Here is a 19,433-nt window from a genome sequence, read left to right as displayed (position 1 = left end):
TTTTCATGTGGCTGCATCTGCGCAGCCTTGTCAAAAGTTCCTGCTCCAAGGCAAAAACCAGAGGAGTCTTTTTCTCTGTTGTGAGGTCTTGGATGAGTCTTCTGCTCTCTCTAAAGCTCATTTGTCTTATCTGTAAAGTGACAGGAACATCTGCCTCACTGGATTGTCATGAGGAGTAAATGAGTCTCTTTGTGGAATGGAGTGAAGGGTTGGCACGGTACCTGCCCTTGGCAGTCCTCGTGTTCCCCTCGCTCCACTGGTAGGTATCAGGCCAACACTCAGCTTGGAGGGAGCTGGGACAGGGTCTGTTGGAAGCTGGGAGGGGCAAGATAGAGGTCAGGGGCTGCCCCATGAGACCCTAGACACAACTAGGCCCTGTTCTGGGCAATGCTGGGTGCACAGAGATGAGACTGACTTGTCCCTGTCTGCATCAGTTAGCTTTTGCTGTAAAACAAAATAGCCTCAAACTTAGTGACTTAAAACCACAATGATTGGCCGGGTGCGGCGGCTCACGCCTGTAATACCAGCACTTTGGGTGGCCGAGGTGGGCCTATCACCTGAGGTCAGGAGTTGGAGACCAGCCTGGCCAACATGGCGAAACCCCCGTCTCTACTAAAAATATAAAAATTAGCCGGGTGTAGTGGCGCGTGCCTGTAATCCCAGCTACTCGGGAGGCTGAGGCAGAAGCAGAAGAATCGTTTGAAAACCCGGGAGGCAGAGGTTGCAGTGAGCCAAGATCGCACCACTGCACTCCAGCCTGGGTGACAGAGTGAGACTCTGTCTCAAAAAACAAAACAACAAAAACAAAACAAACAAACAAAAAAACACAATGATTTTATTTAGCTCAATTAGCTCATGACCTTGCGGGTCACTGGGCAATTCTAGCGTGGGCCAGCCTGGGTCAGATGATCTAGGGTGGCCGCTCTCGAGTATCTGCAGTTAGCAGGCTGTTGGCTGGGCCTCCGCACTTCCGCACATTCTTTTCCCTACGATCCCCTCCCTCTTTGAACCTGGTTTTGCTCAGGAGTCACTACCCCTCCATATGACGCATGAGCTCCACTTAGCTCGAGGAGTGCCATGGTTAGTGTAAGCACGTGCCCCATGAATGTAAGCTGGTGATTGGTCAGAAACGGCAAGTGATGCAGTTCTGACCAGTGAGATGTGTGGGAAAGTCGGTCAGGAGCGCTTCTGGGAAAGCTTCCTCCATCCCAAGAAAGAAATGTGGGAGCACCATTTTTTTTTTTTTCGAGACGGAGTCTCGCTCTCTTGCCCAGGCTGAGTGCAGTGGCGGGATCTTGGCTCACTGCAACGTCCACCTCCCGGGTTCAAGCAATTCTCCTGCCTCAGCCTCCCGAGTAGCTGGGACTACAGGCACGCACCACCACGCCCCGTCTCTACTAAAAATTTTTGTATTTTTAGTAGAGACGGGGTTTCACCATGTTGGTCAGGTTGGTCTTGAACTCCTGACCTTGTGATCTGCCCACCTCGGCCTCCCAAAGTGCTGGGATTACAGGCGTGAGCCACCGTGCCCAGCCGGGAGTAACTTTTATTGTGGGCTTATTATGCCAGGCGCTGCTTGTTCTAATTGCTTTATACAAAATAAGTCATTTAGTTCTCATAAGTTAGGTACTATCATTGTCCCCCATTTCACAGATGAAGAATCTGAGGCATAGAGTGGTTAAGAAACTTGCCAAGGGTCAAACAGCTATTGAGTGCTGGAGCCAGGATTTAATTCCAGGCAGCCTGACTCCAGAGTTCTGAGTTCTCAGGTACTACAATGACCCCTGGCTTCTTCCTCTGGTCATGGACCTCTTTAATGTGACACCTGCTGTAGCCATTGGGCCAGCAGTCTCGAGACAATACAGCCAAGAGACAGAAGGAGCCTGGAGAGCCGGGGTCCCTGTGCGCAGCTTTGGGAGTTGAATGGACCAGCACTGAAGCCCACCCTATCTGCTGACTTCTTGTTTTGTGTGAAACATATTTCCATCTTGTTGAAGCCATTTTGACTCAGAAAGTACCCTAATAGAGACACTGCTGCTGCCAGAAGAAACAGAAGGAGTGCAGGAAGACCCACTGGGCTCCAGGTAATCTGTTCTCACAAACCACTCAGCCCAGGTTAAGACACAACTCTACGGCCTTTCACCATGGGGGCCAGTTTTGAAGGCAGGAAAAACTGGTAAGAGATCGTTGGAAAGGATGGAAGAAATTGCAGAGAAAAATAAAATTATTTCATAATTCTCCTTTATTAGGCACAGGTAAACATACATACTCATGGTATCCAAAACCTAGAGTATGGACCTGGGATTGTGGACCCCAAGTGTCCCCAGAAGAGTCCCACCTGGGACTTTCCAGGTGGCCACAGGACAGACCCTGCCTAATCCTGTCCCTCAACCTTGGTGCTCAGGTCAGAAGCCCCATGGTTGACAGGCCTGGACCCTCATTCCAGAACAGTCTTGAGTTAGACAAGAACTAGCCTCATAGTTTGGATTCTTATCTCTGGCCCAAATCCCAGGCTTAGGCCTGGAAGGAGAATCTCTTAATCAAGAGGACAGAGATGCTGGGAACACAGTTCCCAGAGTGAGCTGGGCTTGGGTCCTGAGTTGCAGGGGAGAGGCCTGGAGCCTTTGGCACAGGGATACCTCCCTTTCTCTGAAAAGGTACAAGATACAAAGGCAGCTGGTTTGTTTGTGAAAGGGATTGTCCTTGGACAGAGGTGCCTGAGCACCAGCATCAGTGGAGGCCGACACTGGTACAAAGTGTACCCAGTGTAGACAGTGACCTATGGTCATGGAAAAGTGTTGTCAGCTCAAGGATGCCAGTTTGTCATCTCTGTGAGCAGGGAATATTGTCTCCTTTGCTCACTGCTGTACTCCCAGCACCGAGAACAGGGCTTGGCACCTGATAAGCACCCAAGCAGGAACTGCATGTGTGTGGAACAAAGCAGATGTGTACACAGCACACTCCACACAGGCTTCTGCCTTTCTCCCTTCTGGAAGGCACTGAAGGTTTGGCTCAGTTCAGAGGCAGGAGAAGGCTTGGAGCTACCCCCAAACTCAATCCACTGTTGGCAGCTGAGCGTGTAGTAGGGTGGTCCTAGCCATACAGAACCACTTCTCTGTCTCCCTCCTCTTCCCTGGCTTCGTCCAGCCCCAGTCCATCAGGGACCACCTGGGCAGCCTCCCAGAGATGGGATCGGGTTGGGGCTAAGGGCATCGGGTCCTGTCGCAGCCAGGGGTGCAGGAGGATGCCTGTGGCTGTGAGCCGTTCAGCTGGCTCCCGACGAAGGAGGCAGCGAACCAGACAGCGGGCAGGGGCCGAGAGGCCTGCAGGCAAGGCGTAGGCCCCGCGGCGGATCTTGCCGAAGAGCAGGACAGGCTCCGAGTCCTGGAAGGGGTAGTGGCCGGCCAGCATGGTGAAGAGCGCCACGCCCAGGCTCCAGACATCGGCTGCCTTGCCCGAGTATGAGGCCCGTGAGCTGAGTATCTCAGGTCCCACGTAGGCTGGGCACGCGTGCTTGTCCCACAGGGAATCATCTGGCCCAGTCAGCACGCAGGAGTCCTCCAGGTTCTCCAGCACCAGCTTCTTCCTGGGACATGGGGAGAAACAGAAGGGTCAGGTCCTACCCAGAACCCCCATGCCACCACCCCATGCTATCACCCTTGTGGCACCCACTTTCCAAGTGCCTGCTGGCCTTTGACAGACACAAGCCAGTCCTGTGATGTCTGATCCTGTTTTACAGATACCCAAGCCCAGGCTCAGAGAGGTTAAGTCATTTAAGGCCACAGAGCAATTAAATTTAAACTAAAATTCTGAAAGGAATACATTTTTCAACAGAGTCCCTTGGGGAGGGGGCTGATGGGGCTGAGAGGGTTAAGCCTCTCTTAAACCAGCTACAAACTTAGGGTCCAGGCAGGTAATAAGATGAGAGAAACAGGAAGTGTGCCTGACATCTCAGCACAAGCGCTACCTAAAAAGGGTACACAACGCATTCTAGGGTTTACCAAGTGCCTGCTGTGTTCCTGGCCCTTGACCCAGCTCATTACCTGGCTCACCTCATTCTATCTAGGCTACAGCCTGCAAGGAAGACACCATTTTACAGCTGTAGAGCATGGGCCTGGGATGGGAACGCTGGCTGGCAGATACTCAGAGCCAGTGCTGTGACCCACCCTCGCAGTTCCCAAGATGGCCCCACATTCCCATTGTTTTCCCCAAGAGAAGCCAGGAATTGTATTTTAATGAAAAGGTCCCCATTTAAAAAATATTGGCAACCAGTTTATATAAAAAACACAAACAGGTAAGCAGGGCAAAAAAAAAAGTGTGTAAGGCTGGGCGCGGTGGCTCATGCCGGTAATCCTAGCACTTTGGGAGGCCGAGGTAGGGGGATCACTTGAGTTCAGGAGTTCAAGACCAGCCTGGGCAACACGGTAAAAACCTATCTCTACAAAAAATACGAAAATTAGCAGGCATGGTGATTCGCACCTGTAGTCCCAGCTACTTGGGAGGCTGAGGCAGAAGGATATGACTTGAGCCCAGGAGGTGGCGGTTGCAGTGAGCTGAGATCGCGCCACTGCACTCCGGCCTGGGTGACAGAGTGAGACCCTGTCTCAAAAAAAAAAAAAAAGTGTGTCCTGCCATTTGCAATTTCTACTTTAAACAACTTCCACTGAGCACTCAAAGATGACTTTAATAGTAATCATTCTATTACCACTGCTATTAGTTTCTTCTTTATGGCATTACTTCCTGGGTGTCCAGTGGCATTTCACAAATACTGACCAATCCTATGAATCACAGTATTGGGGGACAAGGGGTGTCAGCATTATTAGCCCATTTTACAGATGAAGAAACAAAGGCTCAGGCAGGTGAAGTCATTTGCTCAGGGCCAAAAAGCAGGTAAGAAGCAGAACCCAGGATTTAAACACAGGTCTATCTAACTCACGGTCCCTCTTCTACCAATGACTCTCATGTGATTTTTCTTTTTTTTTTTCTTTTTTTTCTTTAGAGATAGGGTCTCACTCTGCCACCCAGGCTGGAGTGCAGTGGTGCAATCCTAGTTCACTGCAGCCTCAAACTTCTGGGCTCAAGCAATCCTCCTGCCTCAGCCTCCCAAGTAGCTGGGATCACAGGTGTGCATCACCACACCTGGCTAATTTTTATAAATTTTTTGTACAGATGGGGTTTTCTGTGTTGCCTAGGCTGGCCTCGAACTCCTGGGCTCAAGCAGTCCTCCTACTTTGGCTTCCCGAAGCACTGGGATAACAGGTGTGGGCCATCAAGTGACTTCTTGAAAAGAGCAGGAAGCACGCTGTCTCCTCCAGGAGGTCCGGGGTAGTTGTATCTACCCTAAGCCTAAAATGTGTTTGAAGTTATGTACTAGCTTAAACATCATTATAAATGTTACTTCTTTAAAAAAGGCATGCTTGTTCTAATATAAAATGTAGAAGGAAATATTAACAGAAAATCAGCCTTGGGGGCTGGGCGCAGCGGCCCATGCCTATAATCCCAGCACTTTGGGAGGCCAAGGCAGGCGGATTTCGAGACCAGCCTGGCCAACATGGCAAAACCCCATCTCTACTAAAAATACAAAAATTAGCCAAGTGTGGTGGTGTGTGCCTGTAATCCCAGCTGCTCAAGAGGCTGAGGCACGAGAATCACTTGAACCCGGGAGGTGGAGGTTGCAGTGAGCCGAGATCGTGCCACTGCACTCCAACCTGGGCAACAGAGCGAGACTCTGTCTCAAAAAAAAAAAAAAAAGAAAGAAAGAAAAAAAAGAAAAAGAAAATTAGACTTAGGCAAGCACCACAATAATAACTGCTATAGGCAAGATGGATGGCTGCTAAAATTAGTGGGTGAAAGTTGAGGAAAAACAGGATATTTATATGCCTAGCTTACCTCCCCCAAGGTATTTGTCAATTACAAAGGGTAAATTAGGACCTTACAGTAGAGAAACCTGGTAGGTCCTGCCCTAACCAAGTGATCAAGGTCACGACATAGGAATGACTATCAGCTCAAGTATCTCTTGATATGATGTGGAGAGGGGCCTATCGATTCTGTGTTGTTCTTGCCAAAAATACATAACTGCAATCTAACTGTGAGAAAACATCAATCAAATCCAAATTGAGGGACATACAAAGTAACTGATCAGTACTCTTCAAAAGTCTCAAGGTTATGGCCAGGAGCAGTGGCTCACGCCTATAATCCCAGGATTTTGGGAGGCTGAGGCAGGCAGATTGCTTGAGCTCAGGAGTCTGAGACCAGCCTGGGCAACATAGCAAGACCCCATCTCAATTAGCCAGGTGGGGTGGCACACACCTGTAGAACCAACTACTCAGGAGGCTGAGGTGGGAGGATCACTTGAGCCCGGGAGGTTGAGGCTGCAGTGAGCTGTGATCACACCACTGCACTCCAGCCTGGGTGACAGAGTGAGACCCTGTCTCAAAAAAAAAAAAGTGTCAAGGTCATGGGTCTTCAAAGACAGGGAAAGACTGAGGAACTGTCTCAGATTGGAAGAGACCAAGGAAACCACTGATGACTAAATTGGGATCCTCACTGGATCCTGCACAGCAAGGGGTGTTAGTGGGAAACTCGGGAAGTGGGAATCAATCTGTGGCTTAGTTAATAGTTTGGGTAATTGTACCATAGCTACGTCAGGTGTTAACATTGGAGAGCACTGGTTAAAGGATATGCAGAAACTCTTTGAACTATTTTTGTAGGTTTTCTAAAAGTCTAAAATTATTTCAAGATAAAAAGTTTTTTAAAATGCCATGGGGTCACACTCCTTTCTCCACAGAAAACTCCTGTGTAACTGGCAGCTTAGTGCACTCCCTGACACATCTTGACTGCCCCCAGGAATCTGGAGAGGGAACAGGAGGCGAGTCTCTCTGCCCTTCTCCCCAGAATTATCTTTTAAAAATTTTTCTTAGCGTCTAGGCTGGGTGCAGTACCTCACACCTGTAATCCCAGCACTTTGGGAGGCCGAGGCAGGCGGATCACCTAAGGTCAAGAGTTCAAGACCAGCCTGGCCAACATGGCAAAACCCCGTTTCTACTAAACATAGAAAAAATGAGCCAGGCATGGTGGCGCATGCCTGTAGTCCCAGCTATTCGGGAGGCTGAGGCAGGCGTATCACTTGAACCCAGGCAGCAGAGGTTGCAGTGAGCCAAGATCGCGCCATTGCATTCCAGCCTGGGTGACAGAGTGAGACTCTGTCTCAATTAAAAAAAAAAAAATTCTTAGCATCCCAACCTAGAGAAGGAAGATTCTTTTAACCAAAAAGTGCTAATTCTCAGTTTCACAGAAAACGTTCCCGTGTGGGGAACCTCAGACCCTATTTTGGCTGTGGTCTTGGAATCCTGAAAACACCCTAACAATCCAGCCCTTTTCCTTACCAACGGAGAAACTGAGGCTCAGAGACACTAGGTCACCCAAAGTCAGTTGGTAAGCCCAGCCAGGCCCCTGCCTCTCAAGCTCAGATTGAATTAAGACCCAGGCTCTGGAGTCAGATCTAGGTTCAAATCCCAGCTCTACCATTTATTCTGCTATGGGATCTTGGGCAAGTTACTTGAGCTCTCTGGGCCTCAGTTTCCTTGATCATATGGGGATAATAACAGTACCTGCCTCGTGTTTGTAAGGATGGAAGACCACGTTAGATAATGTGGCGATGCTTTCGTCACTGTCGGCTACTATGACTTTCACATCTCAGTGCTCCATCCCAGAATCCCAAGGGGCTCCCAAGAGGACTGAGTCAACTCTTTTTTTTTTTTTTGAGATGGAATCTCACTCTGTTGCCGAGGCTGGAGTGCAGTGGCGTGATCTTGGCTCACTGCAACTTCCGCCTCCCAGGTTCAAGCAGTTCTCCTGCCTCAGCCTTCAGAGTAGCTGGGATTACAGGTGTGCGCCACCACACTAGGCTAATTTTTGTATTTTTAGTAGAGACGGAGTTTCACCATGTTGGCCAGGCTGGTCTCGAACTCCTGACTTCAAGTGATTCACCCACCTCGGCCTCCCAAAGTGCTGGGATTAAAGGCGTGAGCCACTGCACCTGGCCTGAGTCAACTCTTCTCAGGGAACTAAACAGGGGCTGCTGGTTACTTCAGTTTCTCCCACTTCTTGCCTAAGTTACCTTGCCTTCCTGGGCCTCGGTTTCTCTCCATCATGGCCCACCCCCTGGGTGTGTCTGTGGCTGGGGTCTCTGAGACCACACTCACCTCTCACGGTCAGCGAAGACAAAGCGACACAGCTTGAGATCACGCAGGACCAGACCGTGCTGGTGACAGTGCGCCAGGGCGGTGGCCATCTGGCGGAAGAGCACGGCAGCCTCAGGCTCAGGGATACGGTGGCGGCTTCGCACCAGGCTGTGCATGTCCCCATGGGTCCGAGTGAAAAAGGCGTAGAGGAGCTGGGTACCAGCCAGGACCTCAGTGGGCCGAGCCACATGCTTGTGCGGGGGCAGCCGCGCATAGGGCTCCAGCACGGCCAGGGCTTCCTGGACGGGGTACACCTGTGGGCAGAGCATGGTGTTAGCACAGCTGGGGACTCCCGGGAGCTGAGGCTGGCATTGCAAACAGTCACAGCTGACCTATTAGACACTACCATGTGCTAGGCATCGCACCAAGCGCTTCACTGACCGAGTCACTCAGCCCTGACCATGGTCCTATAAGGTAGGATGACTTGCTCCATTTTACGGTTAACGAAGCTGAGAGGCCACACAGCCAGCAAACAGCACGGCTGAGATTTGCACGTATGCACTCCACTGTCTGTGCTTTTTTTTTTTTTTTTTTTTTTTGAGACGGAGTCTCGCTCTGTCACCCAGGCTGGAGCACACTGGCGCAATCTCAGCTCACTGCAAACTCCGCCTCCTGGATTCAAGTGATTCTCCCGCTTCAGCCCCCAGTGTAGCTGGGATTACAGGCATGTGCCACCGCACCTAGCTAATTTTTGTATTTTTAGTAGAGATGGGGTTTCATCATGTTGGCTAAGCTGGTCTCGAACTCCTGACCTCAGGTGATCCTCCCGCCTCAGCCTTCCAAAGGGCTGGGATTACAGGTGTGAGCCACTGCACCCGGCCTTTTGTCTGTGCTCTTAACTGCTACGCTATATGGCCTCAAACATCGGATAACTGAAAAGTAACAGGTCACCCAAACAGAAAAATAACCCACAAAGCAGGAGGAATCCGGAAGGGCGGATGATGCAGAAGGCACCTGATGCTCATCACCGTCACAGCTCCCGTCCTCTTTGCCCACCCACGCTTTCATTCATTCAGTATGCTGGCCCTGGGCCTGCACGGGCCAGCCACATGTCCAGCTAGACTGACAGCCATGGGCTCTGCTCTCCGGTGCCCACTGGGAGGCCATGCAAACATGCCCAGAAACCAAATATTGACAAATGCTGATAAGCATTGCAAAGGAACCAAGAAAGATGCTGGAATAAGGGTTTTCCTGTTTGTTTTTTGTTTTTTTGAGACGGAGTTTTGCTCTTGTTGCCCAGGCTGGAGTGCAGTGGTGTGATCTCGGCTCACTGCAACCTCCACCTCCCAGGTTCAAGAGATTCTCCTGCCTCAGCCTCTCGAGTAGCTGGGATTACAGGCCCCTGCCACCATGCCCGGCTAATTTTTTGTATTTTTAATAGAAACAAGGTTTCACCATGTTGGCCAGGATAGTCTCGAACTCCTGACTTCAGGTGATCTGCCTACCTCGGCCTCCCAAAGTGCTGGGATTACAGGTGTGAGCCACCGCGCCCGGCCACCTGACACGTATTTTACTTATTCGCTTGTTTAGTGTCTGTATCTCCCACTAGAACGTCAGCTTGATGAGAACAGAACTTTGTTTTTTAACCACAGCATGGTACATGGCAAATACGGGTGCTCAATGAAGTTGTGTTGAATTAATGAATAAGTTGATCATTTACAAAGACAAGATTTTGATCTTTCTACACACTGACCAGAAAAGCTGAGGAAGTGTGGAAATGACCATTCAGCACCCATGGTGCACATTGGCATAGGGGTGAGTATGTTCCAGTGGATTTTCCCAAATGTTTCTTGAGAATCAGGGCCCTGTGAACGCATGGCGCTTCTCTCCTGAGCCTGCTTGGGTTATTCCTCTTATCATGGACTCACCTCCCCAGCGGGAGTGGAAAAGAGCCTGTGATGCTGCAGGAAGGGGACCCAGAGTTCTGGGCTCCTTAGGGCACCTGGTAAGGGCGCTGGAGATCTGTGCACAAGAGGCCAGGTGAAGCTAGGGGCTGGACCCTGTCTGGATCTGCCCCGCTGTTCACTGCATCTCCGTCAACAGAGCAAAGCTCTGCTGCTGCCCCAGGAGGAGGCTTAAGTCCTTCTGCTTCTCTGTGCATTCCCAAGGGACCCAGGCCCCCGCTACTCTCCCTTGGGTTTCCAGGTCCCCCTTATCTTCCTTATGCTTGCCTGCCAGGGCAGCCTGCCCTGATTGTGTGAAACGCTTATCCTAGCACGGGCACAGGACTCTCTGGGCTCAGCCTCCTGGGCCCAATCCCAGCTCTGATACCACCTGGCTCTGTCATGTGGCAAGTAACCATGGCTTTCTGAGTCTCAGTGTCCTCTATCTATAAAAGGGGCACAATGATAGAAACCACCTCATTGGTTGTGTCAAGATTAAAAGAGATTGTGCACACTAAGCAATCATCATAGTACCTGGTGCACAGTGAATACCTATTGTTACACTTTTTATTCTCATCTCTGTCTTCTTGGACTGTCACTTGTCAGTGTCCTGCATGGGCTGACCCTCAGGGGCCTTGACCCTGTCCATTTCCTGGTTTCTGCCAGGAATCCTCAGACTTTTCTACCCCTTAGTTTACCCCAGGAGCCAGGCCCAGTGCTATGTGACTTCACGCATGGCCCTTCTCCTGTCTTCATCTCAGTCTTCCTATCTGTAAAATGGCCCCAGGTTAGGCTCGATCACCTCCGAGGTCCCAGGAGTTTTGATGTCTACCATGCCCTACCCTTCTCTTGTGCAAACATCTTCAGTAGCTCCGCACAGCCCAGTGGAGGCCCCTTGTTAACACCTTCATGACCAGCTGCTGCCAACCTTCATCTCCTGCCCCTTTCTGCACATCCTCTCCACTCTGGCCACAGAGAAGTCCTTTTCATTCTCTAAAGTGCTATCCCCTCACTTTTCTAGGCCTTTGAACAGCTGTTCCCCCTGCCTGCAACTCCCATCTCCCACTTCTACCTGGCTAACTTCTGCTCGGCCTTTTCTGCGCCCATGATCCCTAAGTTCTACCCCTGCAGCATTTATCACACTGTAGGGCCTAAGCTGTGAACTCCCCCAGGACTGGGACGACCTCTGGTTTACCTCTCTAGTATCAGTCCAGCAGGGGCTCCCTGGATGCTTCCCCACTAAACAAACACAAGAATGAATGAACATAAGGACCCCTCTGCACCCTGGCAATCCTTTGGAGGCCTCCTTCCCAGGCCTCCTGTGGTGCTGGGGGACAGCCGCCCATGGGCACGTACCTTGCAGGTATACTCAGTGCCTGTAGGGCAGTGCAGGGCCTGGTAGGCCCGCCCGCCCTCCTCGGGCTCCAGGAGGACATAGGGCCCAAGACGGGAGGCAGTGGCCACAGCAGTTGCACGATCTGGAGCAGTAGGTGGGCTCAGGGGCAACAGGCAGGGGGGCAGTCTGGGCTGGGGCCCACTTCGAGCTCGTTTCTGGACGGGACGCTCGGTATCTAAGTTGTCATCCAACTCCAACCGCTTCTTCCTGGACAGGGAACCCGCAGGAGCAGCCAGAGGGGTGGCTCGCATCTGGTAAAAAGGAGAGAAAAGCACTAAAGTGAGACTGCTTGGTGGCCCCTCCTTTCCCCTGCTGGTGGGAGGATACGTGGCACAACATTTATAGGGGGTGATCTGGCAGTGTGTGTTAAAATGACAAAGTCACATATCCTTAACTGGGTGCCCCACTTCTGGGAATTTATCTTCCAGTTAAACTTCTCACAAAAAAATTAAATATAGTAAAGGCTGTTCATCAGAGCCTTGTGTCCAATAGCAAAAGCAGGAAATATCCCAAATGTCAGGCAGTAGAAAGCTAGTGAAAACATCATGGTATAGCCATACAGCAGAATACTACACAGCCCTGAAAAAGGACAAGGAAGCTCTCTATATACTGATGCGTACTGATCTCCAAGATGTATTAAGAGAAGAAAGACAAACACAGAATTACGTGTTATAGAATGCTTTTATGGTGGGTTTTTTTTTTTTTTTCCCCAAGAGATGTTGCCCACGCTGGTCTCAAACTCGTGGCCTCAAGTGAACCTCCCACCTCAGCTTCCTAAGTAGCTGGGACTCTAGTAGTGAACCACCACACCTGGCTATACTTTTATGTTAAAAAGAATATATATAAATATGTTATATATATGTATGTATTTGTTTGAATATCTATCATCTCTCTCTCTGAAAGGATGCACAAGATTAGGAGGAGACTCTTACTATTACAGTTCACTTGCAGCCTCGACCTCAGGGTTCAGGTGATTCTTCCACCTCAGCCTCCCAAGTAGCTGGGACTACAGGTGTGCACTATGATGCCTGACTAATTTTTTTTTATTCTTTGTAGAGATGGGGGTCTCCCTACATTGCCTAGGCTGGTCTCACCTGAGCTCAAGCAATCCTCCTGCCTCAGCCTCCCAAAGTGTTAGGATTACAGATGTGAGTCACCATGTTTGGCCGACTTTTATAGTTTTGAATTTGAGCCATGTAAATGTATTTCCTGGCCAGGCGTGGTGGCTCACGCCTGTAATCCCAGCACTTTGGGAGGCCAAGGTGGGCGAATCATGAGGCTGGGAGTTCAAGACCAGCCTGGCCAACATGGTGAAACCCTGTCTCTACTAAAAAATACAAAAATTAGGCCAGGCGCAGTGGCTTATGCCTGTAATCCCAGGTAGCAGCACGTGACCAAGGCAATGCCAAAGTGCAGCCCACGGCAGCACTTTGGGAGGCCAAGGTGGTGGATCATGAGGTCAGGAGTTTGAGACCAGCCTGGCCAACATGGTGAAACCCCATCTCTACTAAAAATAGAAAAATTAGCCAGGCGTGGTGGCGTGGGCCTGTAATCCCAGCTACTTGGGAGGCTGAGACAGGAGAATCACTTGAACCCGGGAGGTGGAGGTTGCAGTGAGCTGAGATCACACCACTGCACTTCAGCCTGGCCAACAGAACAAGACTCCGTCACGGGAGAAAAAAAAAATTAGCCGGGCGTGGTGGTGCATACCTGTAATCCCAGCTACTGGGAAGGCTGAGGCAGGAGAATCGCTTGAACCCAGGAGGCAGAGGTTGTAATGAGCCGAGATTGTGCCACTACACTCCAGCCTGGGTGACAGAGCAAGACTCTGTCTCAAAAAAAAGTATTTTGTAATCAGAAATGTACATTTAAGGAAATAAATACCTGCTTAAAAACACAGCTTGTTTCTAAAAATTATAGTTAAGAAAATCAACTAATCTCATAATCCATGGCTCTCGTACATTCACAGATGAGAGATATGATCTTGTTCATTCACTTAACACTGGGTGCTAGGAAGAGAAGTAGGTTAGACAGCAGTCTTGCCGTCAGGATCTTCCAGTCAATTTGGAGGGCAGATGAGTAATAAAATCACGTCCAAGGCTAGGTGCAGTGGCCCACACCTGTAATCCTAGCACTTTGGAAGGCCATGGTGGGAAGACTGCTTGAACCCAAAAGTTCAAGACCAGCTTGGGCAACATAGTGAGACCCTGTCTCTACAAAAAAAAATTTTTTTTTAATTAGCTGGGTGTGGTGGTGGATGCCTGTAGTCCCAGCTACTTGGGAGGCTGAGGTGGGAAGATTGCTTGAGCCTGGGAGGTTGAGGCTTCAGTGAGCCATGTTTGTGCCACTGCACTCCAGCCTGGTGACAGAGTAAAGACTCTCTCAAAAAAAAAAAAAAAAATCACATACAGTGTGATCAGCCCTACTATACAGAGAAGCATGGGCCTCTAGGAACCCAGAGAGGCCTCTCTCCTGGGCTGGTGGGTCAAGAGAGGTCTTCCTAGAAGAGGTGGTGTCTACACTGAGACCTGAAAGTGAGGCAGAGTTAGCCAGGTGACACGGAGAGTCATACTGCGGTTCAGTGGTTCTCAAACTTGAGCAAGCATTGAGATCATCTGGAGGCCTGTTTCAACATACATTGCTGGGCCCTACTCCCAAAGTAGCTCATTCAGAAGGTCTGAATCTGCATTTCTATCCAGTTCCCAGGTGAAGTTGATGCCGCTGTCCAGTAACCCCTGTTCTGGGGTGAGGGAAGAGGCAAAAGAACATGCTGCATGTTCCCCAAGAACACGGTGGAGAATGAGCGTGACTGCAAAAAAAAGTGAAAAGTTAAAAAAAAAAAAAAAATAGGCCGGGCGTGGTGGCTCACACCTGTAATCCCAGCACTTTGGGAGGCCGAGGCAGGCAGGTCACCTGAGGTCAGGAGTTTGAGACCAGCCTGACCAACATGGTGAAACCCCGTCTCTACTAAAACTACAAAAATTAGCCGGGCGTGGTGGCACACGCCTGTAATCCCAGCTACTCAGGAGTCTGAGGCAGGAGAGTTGCTTGAACCCAGGAGGCAAAGGTTGCGGTGAGCTGAGATAGTGTCATTGCACTCCGGCCTGGGCGACAAGAGTGAAACTCCGTCTCAAAAATAAATAAATAAATAAAAATAAGGTGAGGTTAGTAGAGGCCCTATTGTGAAGGGCTCTACGAGCATCATATGGCAGAGGTGGTTAGTGGTCCCCAGTTTCAGGTCTCCCCTCCTTACATAGGATTAGAACCTGAGATTTTCAGCTGAGCACAAGGACACCTAGAATAAACTGCATTTCCTGTCTCCCTTGTATCCTTGTATCAGCATATGGCTAGTAGGACACAAGTGGAAGTGTTGTGTACAATGCCCAGGACAGTGTTCTTAAAGGGAGGGCCCAACTTCCTCATTTCCTCCTTTCCTGTATGCTGGAATGTGGACCTAACTGCTGGAGCTCCAGCATCTACCTTGGCTTCAGAAGTACCACATACAGTAGAGCAAGAGAGGAGCCTAGGTCCCTGACACATGGAGTTGTCAGGCCAGACCTCCAGGTTTTTTACACAGGAGAGAAATAAACATCTATTGAAGGCTGGGCGCAGTGGCTCATGCCTGTAATCCCAGCACTTTGGGAGGCCGAGGCAGGCAGATCACAAGGTCAGGAGATCGAGACCATCTTGGCCAACATGGTGAAACCCCATCTCTACTAAACATACAAAAATTAGGTGGGCATGGTGGTGCATGCCTGTAGTCCCAGCTACTCGGGAGGCTGAGGCAGGAGAATCACTTGAGCCTGGGAGGCAGAGGTTGTAGTGAGCTGAGATCTCGCCACTGCACTCCAGCCTGGGGACAGAGCAAGACTCTGTCTCAAAAAAAGAGAAAAAGAAGAAAAAAACGTCTATTTCATTTTAGCTATTAAGTGGCTGTTTCTATATTACAGCTGAGCCTAATCCTAATTAACACACAATAGGATTTGGAATTATCCAAAGGCAGTGGGGAGCCACTGAAGGATTTCAGCAGGGGAACATCATGCTTTTAGGGTGGATTTGAAAGTACAAGACGGGGCAGTGAGACTAGCTAGGAGGCCCACACAAGCACGAGTCCAGGCAGGAGAAGGTGACCTGGACTAGGGGGTGCTAGATGGAGACGCGAAGTTAAGGGCTCATAGGAGGAAGATCAAGAGGACTCAGTGGCAGACTGGATGGACTGGATGGATTGGATGTGAGGGGTGAAGGAGAGGGTGGAATCGAGGTGAGGTCCAGCCTTTGGCTCCTGCAATGAGGAGGGATGATGGCTTCATGTCCTGAGCTGGGGGAGAAGCCTGTATTTTGGGGACTGTGGAAGAAAACTGTTAAGTATTTCAGACCCTTATGTCTTGGCAGTGTCATGAAAAGTGGGTTTATACTGTGGAATAGTGGCAGTGCAGCCACTAACAATGAAGACAGTGCTAGTGGGAGGATAAAAGGTACCACCTCTGAGGAGTGCATTTTGACAATATCAAAATGAAAAACAGGCTGGGTGCAGTGCTTCATGCCTGTAATCCCAGTACTTTGGGAGGCTGAAGCAGGAAGATCACTTGAGCCCAGGAGTTCAAGACCAGCCTAGGCAACGTAGCGAGACCCTGTCCCTAAGAAAAAAAAAATTATCTGGTCATGATGGCACACAGCTGTAGTCCCAGCCATGCAGGAGGTTGAAGTAGGGGAATCACTTGAGCCCAGAAGGTAAAGGCTTCAGTGAGCCATGGTCAGGAACTCTAGCCTGTGCAACAAAGTGAGACTGTCTCAAAACAAAGCAAAACAAAACAAAACAAAAACAACGATGAAAAGCGTGTGAGCTTTGATTCAGCAATTAATCCCATTGCTAAGAATTTATTCTGTAGAGGTGTGTGTGTGTAAGCATGCAAATACACAGTTATTCCTGCAGCCCTTTTGACAGAAATAATTGGCTGTCTATAATTACAGGGCTGGTTACATAAATTATACTTCATCCACACAACGGAACAATGTGCAGCCATTTAAAAGGTTGAGGATGCTCTTTATAGGGTAATTGGAAGGATCTCCAGAGTGAACTGTTAAGTGAAAGGAAAGCCACCATTCACGCAGCTGTGTGACTGTGTGTGTGGTGGCTGAAGGAGAGGGCAGTAGGGCATGGTCAGGGCAGACGGGTTCTCTCTAGAACCCATCTGCCCACCCACTTAAACTCCATTCCAAGGAGGTGCATGCCCAGGTATGGGCATTGGTGCGAGAGACCTCAGCCTGGTTAAAGACCTTCCCAACAGTTCAAGGCAGGATTAACAAGGCAACATGAGTCAGTTACCAGACAGAGGCCCACCTCTCCAAGTACGCTGCTCCCAAATGGAAGAGCTGCCTTGGAAGGGAAGGCCTCCCCACATGAGTGAAAGGTCATGACTTTGGCTTGGTAAGAATGCAGTAAGGAGTGGCTGTAGTCAGATATTCCTGGGTTCTAATCCTGTCTCAAACCCTTTCTAGCTGGGGGGTACCCCTGGTCAAGTTCCTCAAGCTTTCTGAGCCTCAGTTCCTGTAAAGTGGGAACAGGATGCAAAGCTTACAGGTTTTTCGTGATGATGAAATGAAAACACAAATGAAGCATGTAGAGCTTATGGACCTGTTGCCAGGTAGGTGTCAGGAAATGGTCATTATTAGCACTCATCCTGTTATTCTTCACAGCAAGATGCATAAGTACCATCCTTGGGAGTCTTAGAAAGCTCCCCAGGTTCGAGGCTGGGATGACACTCCTTACATCTCAAGGCTGTTCTGAGTCACGCAGGATGATACCTGGCTGTGCACATGCTTTGTGCCCTGTGCAGCAGGAGACTGCCTGGAGTCCCTCTGGCCTGTGCCACATCAGTAGTCCAGGCTGCCTTGGCCCCGGCCATCCCTCAGAGCCTGTTGGGGCCTGGGATAAGCTCCACCCAGATGGGGACAGATGCGGTAACTGAGTCTATACATCTTGGGCAAGGCATTTTGCAGACCACACTGCAGAATAGAATCTGTGATGTGGAATGAAAGCAGCCCCTAATATCTACCTCTTGCTGTTCCCTGCCACACTCGGGACCCAGGGAAATGAGGGCGGGTTACATCAAGCGCAAGCGCGCGCGCGCACGCACACACACACACACACACACACACACAGCCCTCCCAGCTGTCACACCCATGGTCTACCCGAGCAAGGCCGCACCCCCACCCCGCCCCGCCCCCCGCAGCCAGGCCCCTCCCGTGGGAGCCCAAGCGAAAGGCGGCGGGTGTCCGAGTCAGAAGTTTCAGCGGAAATTGAAGCGCGGCCCTGGGACAGGAGGGGGGTGAGGCAGAGGGAAGGAGGTGGCTGTCGTCCCCCGCCCTCCCCGGTCTGCAGGCACAGCACACACCGCAGACACGCGCGCACCGTCCACCTGCAAACCCGGAGCCGCGCACTGGGGAGAACCAGCGGCCCTGCCGGGCCAGAGATCGCGCGCTGCGCCCCCGCTCCCACTCCCTCGGCTCCCCCGCTCCAGGGCACCCCAGCCCTGTCCCGGCGGTGTCCCCTGCACCGCCAACCCCTGCCACCAAGTGCCCAGCCCTCCAGACAGCTCTCACCATCTCCTGAGACACAGGTGCTCGGGACCCACCCTCACCCAGGACTCTCCCCTGCGGGTTCACGAGGACCCCCTCGGATCCCCCGCCACCCCCAGAGTCCTCCAGTGCCCCCCACAAGCCCCTCACCGCACCACACGACTCCCCTATCCCGCACTCACGCAAAACAGACCCCCGCACGCCCTCCTCTAGGGGTGACGGCCGGACACCTCCGTCCCTGGCTTCCCCAGCCCAACTCGGGCGACCCCACGCTCCGCGGGGCCGCGTCACCTGAAGCCCGGGGGGAGCACTCAGCCCAGGCCCGGATCAAAAGGGATCTGACCTGGCCGCGCCCCGACGGCGGGGTCTGTGAAAAGGTGTGTAAGGGGCGTGCGTGCGTGTAACACGCGGCAACACGCAGACGCCCAGAGGCTTCCGGCGCCCCCTTCCCCGGCCGCCCCCTCCCGCCCCCCGGCCTCCGGGCGAGTCCGCAGGCCGCACCCCGCCGAGTACCTCGCCCCGTCGTTCCGCGTGGGCCCGGGCGCCGCCGGGGCTCAGAGCCTCCAGGGCACCAGCAGGTGGGCCGGCCCGCTGCGCTGCTGCCGAGCTCGGGATCCCAGCCCAGCTCCAGCCCTGCCCGGGTCCTAGCAGCGGACGCGCGCGGAGCCGCCTCCACTTCCGCTGCGAGTCTCGTGCGCGCCCGGCCCCCGGTCCGGGTGATGCAAACCGGAGCTAATCCCCCGGTCCGGGTGATGCAAACCGGAGCTAATCCCCCGGTCCGGGTGATGCAAACCGGAGCTAATCAGCCGCCGTCTGATGCCCTCGGGCCCGGGATCGCACCATCCCCCGCGCCGCGCCCGGGCCTCTCTCCTCTGCATCCGCTGCACCTGGGACCCGCCCTCGCTGGCCCCCTAGGGGCGTCTGGTCAGTGCAGACATCAGCCACGGACTCTCCCTATCACCTTGGAAAAAAAATTTGCTCTTTTTTTTTTTTTTTTTGAGACAGAGTCTTGCTCTGTCGCCCAGGCTGGAGGGCGGTGGCGCGATCTCGGCTCACTGCAAGCTCCGCCTCCCGGGTTCACGCCATTCTCCTGCCTCAGCCTCCCGAGTAGCTGGGACTACAGGCGCCCGCACCACGCCCGGCTAATTTTTTGTATTTTTAGTAGAGACGGGGTTTCACCTTGTTAGCCAGGATGGTCTCGATCTCCTGACCTCGTGATCCACCCGCCTCGGCCTCCCAAAGTGCTGGGATTACAGGCGTGAGCCACCGCGCCCGGCCAAAAATTTGCTCTTCTGAGCCTCGGTTTCCCCACCTATGAAATGGGAAGAACAT

At 51.7% G+C, this 19,433-nt stretch overlaps 1 protein-coding gene across 6 annotated transcripts, besides 6 other annotated features; it reads right to left on the bottom strand.

Annotated features, from left to right (window-relative positions):
• Positions 282 to 782: an enhancer, noted in NCBI's record as "H3K27ac hESC enhancer chr20:379646-380146 (GRCh37/hg19 assembly coordinates)". NCBI's record gives its function as "activates a minimal SCP1, AML or CMV promoter by ChIP-STARR-seq in primed H9 embryonic stem cells {active_cell/tissue: H9 hESC(primed)}" and the evidence as "EXISTENCE:reporter gene assay evidence [ECO:0000049][PMID:30033119]".
• Positions 2,225 to 19,024, bottom strand: TRIB3 (tribbles pseudokinase 3). 6 transcript variants are annotated; one of them, NM_001301201.1, is made up of 5 exons: positions 18,284 to 18,489; positions 17,158 to 17,351; positions 11,483 to 11,773; positions 8,205 to 8,497; positions 2,225 to 3,586 (listed from the first exon to the last, which is right to left on the bottom strand). In NM_001301201.1, the coding sequence occupies exons 2-5, from the start codon at positions 17,236 to 17,238 to the stop codon at positions 3,094 to 3,096; spliced, it is 1,158 nt and encodes a 385-aa protein (NP_001288130.1). In that variant the 5' UTR covers positions 17,239 to 17,351; positions 18,284 to 18,489; the 3' UTR covers positions 2,225 to 3,093. The 6 variants fall into 6 exon arrangements, with proteins under 6 accessions (NP_001288130.1, NP_066981.2, NP_001288125.1 ...); NM_021158.5 differs by lacking the exons at positions 17,158 to 17,351; positions 18,284 to 18,489 and adding an exon at positions 18,615 to 19,024; NM_001301196.1 differs by lacking the exon at positions 17,158 to 17,351.
• Positions 16,907 to 17,905: an enhancer, noted in NCBI's record as "H3K27ac-H3K4me1 hESC enhancer chr20:362523-363521 (GRCh37/hg19 assembly coordinates)". NCBI's record gives its function as "activates a minimal SCP1, AML or CMV promoter by ChIP-STARR-seq in primed H9 embryonic stem cells {active_cell/tissue: H9 hESC(primed)}" and the evidence as "EXISTENCE:reporter gene assay evidence [ECO:0000049][PMID:30033119]".
• Positions 16,907 to 18,180: a biological region, named in NCBI's record as "H3K27ac-H3K4me1 hESC enhancer GRCh37_chr20:362523-363521".
• Positions 17,591 to 18,180: a silencer, noted in NCBI's record as "silent region_12574". NCBI's record gives its function as "represses an Ori minimal core promoter by ATAC-STARR-seq in GM12878 lymphoblastoid cells {active_cell/tissue: GM12878}" and the evidence as "EXISTENCE:reporter gene assay evidence [ECO:0000049][PMID:35858748]".
• Positions 18,451 to 18,560: a silencer, noted in NCBI's record as "silent region_12573". NCBI's record gives its function as "represses an Ori minimal core promoter by ATAC-STARR-seq in GM12878 lymphoblastoid cells {active_cell/tissue: GM12878}" and the evidence as "EXISTENCE:reporter gene assay evidence [ECO:0000049][PMID:35858748]".
• Positions 18,581 to 18,740: a silencer, noted in NCBI's record as "silent region_12572". NCBI's record gives its function as "represses an Ori minimal core promoter by ATAC-STARR-seq in GM12878 lymphoblastoid cells {active_cell/tissue: GM12878}" and the evidence as "EXISTENCE:reporter gene assay evidence [ECO:0000049][PMID:35858748]".
• Positions 19,025 to 19,433: the final 409 nt, after the last annotated feature.

Source organism: Homo sapiens, chromosome 20, assembly GCF_000001405.40.
Source record: "Homo sapiens chromosome 20, GRCh38.p14 Primary Assembly".
Taxonomy (NCBI): Eukaryota; Metazoa; Chordata; class Mammalia; order Primates; family Hominidae; genus Homo; species Homo sapiens.
Note: the sequence above shows the minus strand (reverse complement) of the source record. Positions and strands in the feature narration are given on the sequence as shown.

Bases quoted from the DNA above. Each gene is read 5' to 3' on its own strand.
- TRIB3 (NM_001301201.1), bottom strand. From the start codon at position 17,238: ATGGTACTTATGCATCTTGCTGTGAAGAATAACAGGATGAGTGCTAAT. The intron at 11,774-17,157 runs GTCCATAAGCTC...CCTTTTTACCAG, and splicing joins TGACACCTACCTGGCAACAG to ATGCGAGCCACCCCTCTGGC. The intron at 3,587-8,204 runs GTGAGTGTGGTC...CCCATGTCCCAG, and splicing joins GTCTTCGCTGACCGTGAGAG to GAAGAAGCTGGTGCTGGAGA.